We start from the raw sequence: 12,305 nt of genomic DNA on the forward strand, positions 1-12,305 counted from the left end.
CAAAAAAAAAATTAGTTAAAAATAGTTATTTTAACTAACCATATAATTTTAACCTATCAGCTGTTTAGAAATGACTGCAATAGAATTGAATGTAGAAGGAAAACTCATTTAATTCATTTGTAGAAGCCAATTAAAAGTATTTTCATTTAAAATCACATTGTTTTGTCATTCAAGCTGCCAAACGATATATTATTAGTCTGTGATTTTTATCTTATAGGCCAATATGAGGTCTGTATGATGTCTGAAATCTGTCACAATGTTCACTTATGACCCACCCCATTTGTCAGCTTAGAGAGCGTTTTTTATTTCTGTCAGTGTGCTGGAACAAAGGATGGCCTTCATGAAAGGTAGCAGAAGCACTGAGGTCAGAGATGGGATTTCACTCAGCTACTCATCAGAGACCTTGCCTCTTTAGTGTGAACATGATACTTCTGACCTCATCACAGGTTGCTTTGTCTCCAAGGAAGTAACCAGGGACAACTTGAGAAAGTCAGGCAAAGTAAGTTGCCATTGACAGATGGTGTTCAGCTGATAGAAAGAATGAATGGAGAAGCTGACAGAGAAAGATGCCAAAGATCGGTATAGCTTTCCATTTGGTATAGCAGAAGATGTATCAAATCAAAGCCATTTATATACATTTACGTAAAAATCCCACTTCTAGGAATTTAGTTAAAGGAATTATAAAGGTGATTTTAAAAACTTGCAGCGCAAAGCTATTGGTTGCTGCATTCAATCTAGAGTAGAGAAAAATTAGAATAACCCAAATGATCAACAATTTTAAAAATTGAGTAAATTATTATAACATCCACTCAAAGAAATGTTATGCACCCATTAAAAGTTATCATTATGAGAACTATAGAAACAAGGAATATGTTATATTTTTAAGTGAAAGTCATAAAATGTATACATGTGGACATATTATACAAAAATGTATATTTTGCAGATAAAACTCTGGGAGTGCCTGCTCTTAACAAAATAAAGTTCTTTATTGCATTTGTCACAATATTGCTTCTGTTTTAAAAGAGAAAGACCAGTTTACAAAACAGGGGTAACTCTTAGCCCAATTGAGTTATTTTTCATTAACTCCAGGGGAAAATCAAAATCATACTCATAAGTCACTTCTCCACAATATCCAATAAGATACTCAGGCAGGACCTCAGAAAATTCTATGAGAAGTGACTGATCTTTAACTTAACATAGATTTGAAAGAGAATATGATATTTACAGAATTTATTTGGTTCTCCACATTGATTTGATTGTGGCAATAACTTTGGCCTTCTTTGCCATTATTTTGTACATGTTAATAACAGTGTGCCTATAAGCCATGTATTTCCCAGGAGATCTGAGCCTCCTACTTTCCAAATGTGTAAGATCTATAAAATGGAGGTAATGGTAGTGACATCATTGTTTCTGTGGGGATTACGTGCAATTATGTATGTAAAGCCCTTGTTTGGTGATTGCTTTGAAGCACAGCTTCATCGTTTACAGGTCAGTTCACTTTCCTGTGCCTGTTTCTTCATCTGTCAGACCTACCTCCTAGGGTTATTGTAAAGAATCTGCATATATGGAGCACTTAGGACACTGCCTGCTACATGTTCACAACTCACTAGACATTAGCTATTATTATTGTATTTTCTCCTGAACATCATACCTGCAATTTGAATAAATTGTAAGAATTTGAATAAGCTGCAAGAGGTTTAACTGTCTTTACACAACCGCTATCATGAAACTCTGCCATGACTCAGACACAGCCAAGCTTCCCTCTGGCAGAACTAAAGGTAATTAGCATGATTTCTCCTCACCACCCCCCACCCCATTATTATTTTAAAAGAAAACTAAGGAAGGAGGAAAAATAAGAAAACCTTTTAAACATTTGCAAAGTTCATATAAAATTATACTTTAAAGTGGGGGTGATCAATAAGAAAGTTTTTGGAAACTCTCAGGGCATATTTTTTGTTTGTTCGCCAGAGTGATGGAAAGGGGGTACTACTAGCAATAGTTATGGGGAGGAGATGCTGTATGTCCTGCAATGTCCAGGTCAATAGTGCACAAAAAAGAATTGCCCTGCATCCTTCATGACTTTCAAATGCCCCAGGAGATGTTCATATAAATGAAAAATCTGTTTATAAGTATCAAAGCCTGTAATTAACTATATTTTAAATGTAAACACAGTATTTTTTCCCTTATCCTAATTTATTGCCTTTCTATATTATAAAACAATTAGGGCCTATTGTGCTGACCCCGATTGACTCCTGTGGGGATGGCACTGTGTCCAAGAGGCCAAAGAAGAGACCTGGTGCCAGCAAACGAGATGTAGAGTTTATTGAGGACTTTTATACAGGGATGGTCCAGTGGCAGTGGGCTGGACAGGAACACTGCTATCATTTGTAAAAAGCATGTAGTATGGTCAGGCATGGTGACTCTGGCCAGTAATCCCAGCACTATGGGAGGCCGGGTTGGGAGGATCGTTTGATGCCAGGAGTTTGAGACCAGCATGGGCAACAAAGTAAGACCCCATCTCAACAACAACAACAAAAATCATGCAATTTATATAGCATTTTCACTTAGCACCCTCCACCTCATAACCTCCACTTAGCAGCCTCCACCTAGCAAAACTCCATTTAACCCAAAACAAAGTGCCTCAGTTCCTTGCATGTCCTGCATTACAGGGAATGGCCCAGAGGTTCAAATGTCCTTCATAGATAAGGAGCGAGTCTCCAGGTTGGCCACTTGCAATTTCTTATGTGGAGATTCTGACCAACACATTGTTCTTAGACCATAGAGTATCTCAGGCTGTGCTTCAGTTATTACTATCAGGTACGTCTGCCATATGGGCTTCTAGTAAAATATTTAGATATTCAGAAACATTGTAGAAAATATTATTTAGGAAAAATGAATATTTCATAATCCCATATTTTATGGACTGAATTGTGTCCTCTCAAAATCCATGTTGAAGCCCCAGTCCTCAGTACCTCAGAAGGTGACTGTATTTGGAGATAGAAGTGTGCCCTAACCCAGTCTGACCAGTATCCTTATAAGAAGAGGAAATTTGGACACACAAAGAAATACCAGGGATGCTCATATACGGAGGAAAAAACCACGTGAGAACACAGGGAAAGCGGCCATCTGCAAGCCAAGGAGAGGGGCCTCAGAAAAAAACAAACCAGCTGACACCTTGATCTTGGACTTCTCGCCTCCAGATCTGTGAGAAAATAAATGTCTGTTCAACCCACCCGTTCTGTGGTACCTCGTTATTGCAGCCCTGGCAAGCTCATACACTACTCCTCCAGATTCTTCCAGATTTTTTCTATGTGCAGACTAGCAAATGGCACAACTTCCTTTTATAGAAATGTATTTCTTCAACAGATATTTATTAAATACCTACTATCTTCAGGGAATAGATACATTGGTGAACAAAAAGTTCCTACTGAAATGAAATCATACCAAATGTACAAAAACTGCTTGCTCTTTTCACTTAAAAAATATATCTTGATGGGAGCGGTGGCTCATGCCTGTAATCCCAACACTTTGGGAGGCCAAGGCAGGTGGATCACTTGAGCTCAGAATTCGAGACCAGCCCGGGCAAGATGGCAAAACCTCATCTCTACAAAAAAATACAAAAATTAGGCATGGTGATGTGCACCTGTGGTCCCAGCCACTTGGGAAGCCGAGGTGGAAGGATCACTGTAACTTTGGAGGTCAAGGCTGCTGTAAGCCGCGATCGCACCACCGCACTCCAGCCTGGGTGACAGAGCAAGACCCTATCTCAAAGAAATATATATATCCTAGGTATCAGTCTATGTCAGTAATGATAACTACCACCTCTTTTTCTTCTTTTTTTCCTCTTTTTTTTTTTTTAGAGATGGAGTCTCATTCTGTCGCCCAGGCTGGAGTGCAGTGGTGCGAACTCTGCTCACTGCAACCTCCACCTCCCGGGTTCACGCCATTCTCCTGCCTCAGTCTCCCGAGTAGCTGGGACTACAGGCGCCTGCCACCATGCCCGGCTAATTTTTTGTATTTTTAATAGAGACGGGGTTTCACCGTGTTAGTCAGGATGGTCTCAATCTCCTGACCTGGTGATCCGCCCGCCTCAGCCTCCCAAAGTGCTGGGATTACAGGGGTGAGCCACCGCGCCCGGCCAGTAATGATAACTATCATTTCTCTCTTTCTTTCTTTCTTTTTTTTTTAAGAAGTCTTGCTCTGTCGCCCAGGCTGGAGTGCAGTGGCGCAGTCTCGGCTCACTGCAAGCTCCGCCTCCCAGGTTGATGCCATTCTCCTGCCTCAGCCTCCCAAGTAGCTGGGACTACAGGCGCCAGCCACCATGCCCAGCTATTTTTTTGTATTTTTAGTAGAGACGGGGTTTCACCGTGTTAGCCAGGATGGCCTCCATCTCCTGACCTCGTGATCCGCTCACCTCGGCCTCCCAAAGTGCTGGGATTACAGGCGTGAGCCACTGCAGTCGGCCGATAACTATGATTTCTTGAGGGCTTTGTATGTTCCAGGGACTGGGATAAACACTTTGCTTACGTTGTCTTGGAGTACTTATCTTACAGATGAGATGATAGACGTGCAAGCCTTGTGGGAACACTAAAACTCAAGTGAAATACAAAGGGGTTTCTCCCCACAGCTGCAGGTCATGGGTTCACCACCAGCCTAAAGCCTGGAAAGAGTCTTTCTTTTCTTTTCTTTTCTTTCTCTTTCTCTTTCTTTCTTTTCTTTCTTTCTCTTTCTTTCTTTCTTTTTCAGATGGAATTCCACTCTGTGGCCCAGACTGGAGTGCAGTGGTGTGATCTTGGCTCACTGCAACCTCCGCCTCCCAGGTTGAAGTGATTCTCCCACCTCAGCGTCCCAAGCAGCTGTTATTACAGGCATGCACCATCACACCCAACTAATTTTTGTATTTTTAGTAGAAATGGGGTTTCGCCGTGTTGCCCAGGCTGGTCTCGAACTCCTGACTTCAAGTGATCCACCCCTCTCAGCCTCCCAATGTGCTGGGATTACAGGCTGTTGCTCCAGCCTGGGCAACAGAGCGAGACTCTGGCTCAAAAAAAAAAGAAAAAGAAAAAAAGAAATCAAGTGTCCTGACTTTCAGTTAATCTTTACCACCCTTGTACTATTACACCTATATATGTATATATAATTTTAGGTACAGTTTAATATACACTGAATTTTCCAGGGGTATGACTAATGTCTAAACAGAAGGAATGTTGCACCCTGTTGTACCATGTTGTATTTGGAATTTACCAACTGACAGCAGCACTGCTCTGGGTCCTGAGTCACCCATGCAACACATCTGCCACATCCCCTGCTTTGGGCTCCTTTATGATGCCTTAATGGAGTTGTGCACAAACACTTATGTATCAAAATACATATTTTGCTGTGGAGTATCTTCCTTTTATTTTCTATATTACAATCAAGGCCTTATAACTTTTTAAAAATCATGTGTGTAGGTAAGTTATATTGTCTATAAACTTCAAGGCAGTACAGGGAGCATTACAATATATTCGTTATGAAAAGGGGTGCTGTGTCTAAAAACCCTGCTTTAAAGATAACTTAGAATAAAATTTAGAAAACAAAAACTTTTGTATATATCCTTACTACTTTTTAGTTTTTTAAAATCACGATTTAATCTCATTTAGTTTTCTTGGCCAATTGGCTCCAATTCATTCTTAGTCTCATCTGGTTTCCGGGACTTGTTAATAACAGTCGCTCCCAACCCCTATATAGTTGTCACTCTGAGGTGTTAAAATTTCTCCAGTCTTCCTTTTGCTCCAGCCTAAACTTTTAATTAACATATTTCTGTGGACTATTTAGTTCTGAAAAGCTAGTATTACTTAGTCCTTCTTTGTACATGTTGTAGGCTTGAAAGCTTGACAAAGTTTAGAAGAAGGAAAAATGGGCCGGACGTGGTGGCTCACGCCTGTAATCCCAACACTTTAGGAGGCTGAGGCGGGTGGATCACCTGAGGTCAGGAGTTCAAGAACAGCCTGGCCAACATGGTGAAACCCCGTTTCTACTAAAAATACAAAAATTAGCTGGGCTTGGTGGCGTGTGCCTGTAATCCCAGCTACTCAGGTGGCTGAGGCAGGAGATCGCTTGTTGCAGTGAAACCAGATCTCATCATTCATCATTGTACTCCAGCGTGGGCAACAAGAGGGAGACTCCATCTCAAAAAAAAAAAAAAAAAGAATAACAAGAAGGAAAAAATGGGAGCTACCCCCCACACACTGCACAGTAGTCGCAGGAAACACCACAGTGTTTCTTTCCTAATAATGGAAGTTCCGTCTCAAAGGAGAAGACTTTGATACATGTATCAAGTATGTGGATATTTGCTTAGTACTAACGTTGTTTACATCCACTTACTTGGTCTTATTAACAGATTAAGCAAAGCTTCCTGTTTATTCCCTTGCCTGCTTCCTTCTGAGTTTTAAAGAAATCACACTTGATTTTAGAATTTACTTTAAAAATGTAAACAATATATAATTTTAGGTTTTTTTTTTCTTTTTTTTGGAGACAGAGTCTTTATCTGTCGCCCAAGCTGGAGTGCAGTGGCATGATCTTGGCTCACTGCAACCTCCGTCTTCCGGGTTCAACAATTCTCCTGCCTCAGCCTCCTGAATAGCTTGGATTACAGGCATGCATTACCACACCCGGATTATTTTTGTATTTTTAGTAGAGACAGGTTTTGCCATGTTAGCCAGGCTGGTCTCGAACTCGTGGCCTCAAGCCATCCACCTGCCTTGACCTCCCAAAGTGCTGGGATTACAGGTGTGAGCCACCACACCTGGCTAATTTTAGTTTCAATTTAAAACAAAGGCTTTTTATTATAAAATAAGTCACATACTAACTTTAGAAATTATTCATTTACCTTACAGATTGATGAAGTTTTGAAAAACAATGTTAACAAATAAAAATTTTTACTATGTAGTTTTCTGTATAGCTATTTCAGTGCCCCCATGAACACATGTGTTTTAGAATATGAACTCTAAAGTTAAAGTTTAAAAAGCTTCATTGGCTGGGTATGAAGAAATGCTTGAGCATTTCTCCCACCTCAGCCTCCCAAGTAGCTGGGACTACAGGCATGCACCACCACGCCTGGCTAATTTTTTTAATTTTTGTAGAGACAGGGTTTCACTAGGCTGGTCTCAAACTCCTGAGCTCAAGCAATCCTCCTACCTTGGCCTCTCACAGAGCTGGGATTACAGGTGTGAGCCACTGCACCCAGCCTGAGACTGTATTTTTAAATGTGAAGGTAGGAGTTCTGTATTTAAATTTGTATTTCTCATAACTATTACTAATAGAAAGATAATCCATTAATCCATTTTGATCACTAATTCTGTTCTGAGCTTTTGTGCTTTCCGTAATTAAAGGTAATTTGCTTAAGTATCTGACATCTCCATTACAAAATGCTCTCCAGTTCCCAGGAGGCCCCAGGAGACTTATGAAGGGCAATTCCAGGAATGCAGCTGCAGCAAGACCAAAGGAGCTGCAGGCAGTCGCATTTAGGAAACTGTGGTCTTATTTCAAGAAACAATGCTTAGAGGCGGTAGACAGATGATAAGGTCACACACTTCACCACAAGAGACGGAGACTATGACTCACCGAAAGTCCCTTTCCAAAAACCTTGGGACTTAGAGGAAGAAAACAACTGACATGTGTCATAATAAAATATGTACGTGTTATGGTTTACAGTGTGTGATTGCAGAAATAGCAAAATACAGAACACAAGGGAATGTAATTTGAGTACAGCCCAGCCATATCAATAGGAAAATCATAAGAGTGTATACATAAGTCATTACTGAATGCATGCTATATATTAAGTATTTAGTACATTAAGTATTTACTAAGCCATTGCACTAAACATAATACACAAAATAATACCGTTAAGATTCCCAACACAACTTAAATGGTAATCTTTTTAATTAATGGAGATATTTTAAAACAGATAATCATTTAATCTTAGAGTTGTCATGAAATTAAATTATTTTTTTAAAGATGCTTATTGAGTACTTAAGATATGTCAGATAATTGCTAAGGGTTTTATATGGACTATGTTATTTTATTCTCATAAAGTGGCAATATGATCCCTATTTTACAGATAAAGAGCTAAGAGGATAAACCCACATCTGCCTGACTCCAATGCTGTTGAGTATCACTTATCCAAAATGCTTAGGACCAGAAATTCAGAATTCAGATGTTTTTTTAATTTAGGGATATTTGCATAAACATAATGAGATAAAGATATTTCATTATGTAGGACCCAAGTCTAAACATGACATTCATTTATGTTTCATATGTGCCTTATACACATAGCTTTAAGGCCATTTTATACACTATTTTAAATAATTTTGTGCATGAAAAAAAGTTTTGACTGCCACCCATCACATGAAGTCAGATCTGGAACTTTCCACCTGTGGCATCATATTGGCACTGAAAAGCTTTCAGATTTTGGAGAATTTTGGATTTCAGATTTTTGGATTAGGGACACTCAACCTGTAATAATATCTTACCTTGGCTGCCCTTCTTTCCCTTTCTTCCTTTCCCACTTCTCTATCACATTTCCTGAGATCACCTACTGTATTAGTTTGCTAGGGCTGTCATAACAGAAACTGCAGACTGGGTGGCTGGGTGGCTTAAACAATAGACATTTATTTTCTCACAGTTCTGGAGGCTGGGAAGTCCAAGATGAAGGTGTTGGCAGGCTTGGTTCCTTCTGAGGCCTCTCTCCTTGACTTACAGACGGCTGCCTTCTTGTGTCTTCACATGGTCATCTCTTTGTGTGCACATGTGTTGGGGTGTCTCTTTCTGTGTCCAAACTCCTCTTCTTACAAGAATACCAGTCAGACCGGATTAAGGCCCACCCTAAGGACCTCATTTTAACTTAGTAACCTTTTAGAATACCTTTGGGTCTTCAATTTATTGGTGGGGGGGACACAATTCAGTGCAAAACACCTATCAAATAAACCACCTCACTTGAAATTTTGTTTCAGCATTGGCCTGGGAAACACAAGATAAAACATGGAGGATACTGTTCGACACATAGTACTAAATACTTTTTAAGCATTTTTTATGGGTCTGGTCCACTGACAATGTATTCTCTTAGTTTTCATTTATCTTAAAATGCCTTTTATTTCCCTTTTATTCTTTTTTTATTCCCTTTTGTTCTTGAAGGATTTTTTAAAATAGACTTTATTTTTTGGAGAAGTTTAAGTTCACAGCAAAATTGAACAGAAGATTCAGACAGTTCCCAGATACCTCCTGCCCCCACACATGCATAGACTCCCCCATTATCAACGTCCACCACCGGATTGGTACATATGTTACAATTACCAAACTTACATTGATACGTTATTATCTCCGACAGTCCACAGTTTACATTAGCATTCACTTGGTGTTGTACATTCTATAGGTTTTGACAAATGTATAATGACATGTATCTACCATTATAGTATCACACAGAGTATTTCCACTGCCCTAAAAAATGCTCTGTGTTCTACCTATTCATCCCTCTCTCCCTACCTAATTCCTGGCAACCACTGATCTTTTTACACTTATGTATTTTTGCCTTTTCCGGAATGTCACATACTGTAGTTGGAATCATACATTATGTAGCCTTTTCAGATTAGCTTCTTTCACTTGGCAATATGCATTTAAGTTTTCTCCATATCTTTATATGGCTTGATAGCTCATTTCTTTTTAGCACTGAATATTTCATAGTTGATATTTCACAGTCATTTTATCCATTCACCTACTAAAGGACTTCTTGGTTTCTTCCAGTTTTCAGCAATTATGAGTAAAGCTGCAATAAACATCTTTGTGCATGTTTTTGCATGAACATAGTTTTCAACTCCTTTGGGTAAATATCAAAAAGTACAATTGCTGGATCATATGGTAAGAGTATGTTTAGTCCTTAAAGAAACCACCAAACTATCTTCCAGAGTTGCTCTACCATTTTGCATTCTTACAAGCAATAAATGAAAGTTCCTGTGGCTTCATATCCTCATCAGTATTTAGTGTCATCTATTTGTAGTAGTAATTCACTGTTTTAATTGGCATTTCCTTAGGGATATTTTTGCTATATGTAAAATGTGAGATACAGATGCTCCTCAACTTACCATGGCGTTATAAACCCATGATAAATTTATCTGTGATGGATTTAACCCATGGCAAACCCATTACAAATCAAAAATATCACAAGTCAAAAATGCACATACTACCACCCAATAAAGCCGTAGTAAAGTCAAAAAATCACAAGTTGAAGCATCATATGTAGGCAACCATATGTAATTTTACTAGATATGAAATAGATACAGAATTCTAAGTTTTATCCTTTTAGTGCTTTAAACATATGATTCATTACCTTGTGGCTTCTAGTAAGAAGTCAGCTGTTTATGTGTCATTGTTATCCTGTCTACAATGTGCTGCTTTTTCTGGCTCTTTTAAATACTTTTTTACTTTTGTTTTCAGTAGTTTCATTACAACGTGCCTAGATGTAGTTCTCTTTGCACTTATCCTGCTTAGAGCTTGCCAAAATCATATATTTCACCAAATTCGGAAACACTTTGGCCATTATTTCTTTAAATTTTTGGTCATTCTCTCTCTACTGGGACTCCAGTTACACATATTTAAACCTCTTAATGCTGTTTAACAAGTCACTGGGACTCTGCTCATTTTCTCCCAGGCTTTCTTCTCTGTTTTTTTCAGATTGGATAATTTCTATTGATCTATTTTCAAGGGTACTAGTTCTTTCTCCTTTTATCTCCAATCTACAGTTAAGCCTATCTAGTGAATTTTTAAATATCAGATACTTTAATATCTAGCTCTATAATTTCCATTTGGTTATTTCTTTTTTTTTTTTTTTTTTTTTTTTTGAGACAGAGTCTCGCTTTGTCACCCAGGCTGCAGTGCAGTGGCACAATCTTGGCTCACTGCCACCTCTAAGTCCTGGGTTCGAGTTATTCATGTGCCTCAGCCTTCCGAGTAGCTGGAATTGCAGGTGCCTGCCACCATGCCCAGCTAATTGTTGTATTTTTAGTAGAGATGGGGTTTTACCATGTAGGCCAGTGCCACCACGCCCAGCTAATTTTTGTATTTTTAGTAGAGATGGAGTTTCACCATGTAGGGCAGTCTGGTCTTGAACTCCTGGCCTCAAGTGATCCGCCTGCCCTGGCCTCTCAAGGTGCTGGGTTTACAGGCATGAGCCACTGTGCCTGGCCTTTTATGGGTGCAAGAAATCCTCCTGCCTCAGCCCCCAAGTAGCTGGGACTACAGTCACGCACCACCATGGCCAGCTAATTTTTTGTATCTAAAGAGACAGGGTTTTGCCACATTGCCCAGTCTGGTCTCAAACTTCTGAGCTTAAGCAATCTGCCCACCCCAGCCGCCCAAAATACTGGAAATTACAGGCATGAGCCACCGCATCCAGCCTGGTTATTTCTTTACGGTTTGTTTCTCTGCTGAGATTTCCTATATGTTCATTCATTTAAATTATGTTTTCTTTTACATCCTTAGGTATAGTTACGATAACTGCCTTAAAATCTTTGCTAATTACAATATATGAAGCATTCTGTGGTTGGTCTCTAGTGATTGTCTTTTCCTTAGAGTGTTGGTTGATCACATTTTCCTGTTTCTTCTTATGTCTAGTAATTTGGGGTTGTATCCTGGACATGGTCAGTGAATGATAAATTGGAGAAACTCTGAACTCTGTTATGTTCTTCTCAAGAGTATTAATTTTTGTTGTAGTAGACAGATAACTTTTCAGAACTCAAACTCCAAACTCTACCCCCTCTATGTTGGGCAGTAGCTGAAATCTTTGTTCCATTCTTTTAGCCATGTATGGGCTTCTCAGGTTCTGCCCTGCACAGGGATAGTGCAGGAATCAGCCAGATTTCCAAGTAGATTTTATATTCACAAACTGGGGCTCCTCATCTGTGGCTTTCTCCTTTCTAGAATCTTCTCCCTCACATTCCAGCTGTGGTTGCTCCAAACTCTGACTCTTAATACATAACCTGTATGATTATGAGTCTGTGAGTATTAGCTACCCGGTGCAAGCCTTGCTGGAGCCCACCCTCAGGTAAAGAGTCATAAGAAATGGAAAAACTCACCCAATGCCTTTCTTTTCCTCTAAATTTGATTCCTTTCCATTTTCTGCCTACTTTGGTCCCTTCTCAATGCCTTCATTTTTTTTTTATTGCTTTGTTCAGAGTTTATAAGTATTACTTGTGGAATGGTTGGTCTGATACATGCTACTCTCCCATTAATGGAAGTAGAACCTCATTTTTTTTTTTTGAGACAGTCTCACTCTT

At 39.3% G+C, this 12,305-nt stretch overlaps 1 protein-coding gene across 1 annotated transcript in view, besides 1 other annotated feature; it reads left to right on the forward strand.

Moving 5' to 3' along the window:
* The window catches only part of YAE1 (YAE1 maturation factor of ABCE1), a 45,686-nt gene that overhangs the window by 15,928 nt on the left and 17,453 nt on the right, over window positions 1–12,305 (forward strand). The window lies entirely within an intron of this gene.
* Window positions 7,185–7,732: an enhancer, noted in NCBI's record as "OCT4-NANOG-H3K27ac hESC enhancer chr7:39629115-39629662 (GRCh37/hg19 assembly coordinates)". NCBI's record gives its function as "activates a minimal SCP1, AML or CMV promoter by ChIP-STARR-seq in naive and primed H9 embryonic stem cells {active_cell/tissue: H9 hESC(naive and primed)}" and the evidence as "EXISTENCE:reporter gene assay evidence [ECO:0000049][PMID:30033119]".

Source organism: Homo sapiens, chromosome 7, assembly GCF_000001405.40.
Source record: "Homo sapiens chromosome 7, GRCh38.p14 Primary Assembly".
Classification (NCBI taxonomy): Eukaryota; Metazoa; Chordata; class Mammalia; order Primates; family Hominidae; genus Homo; species Homo sapiens.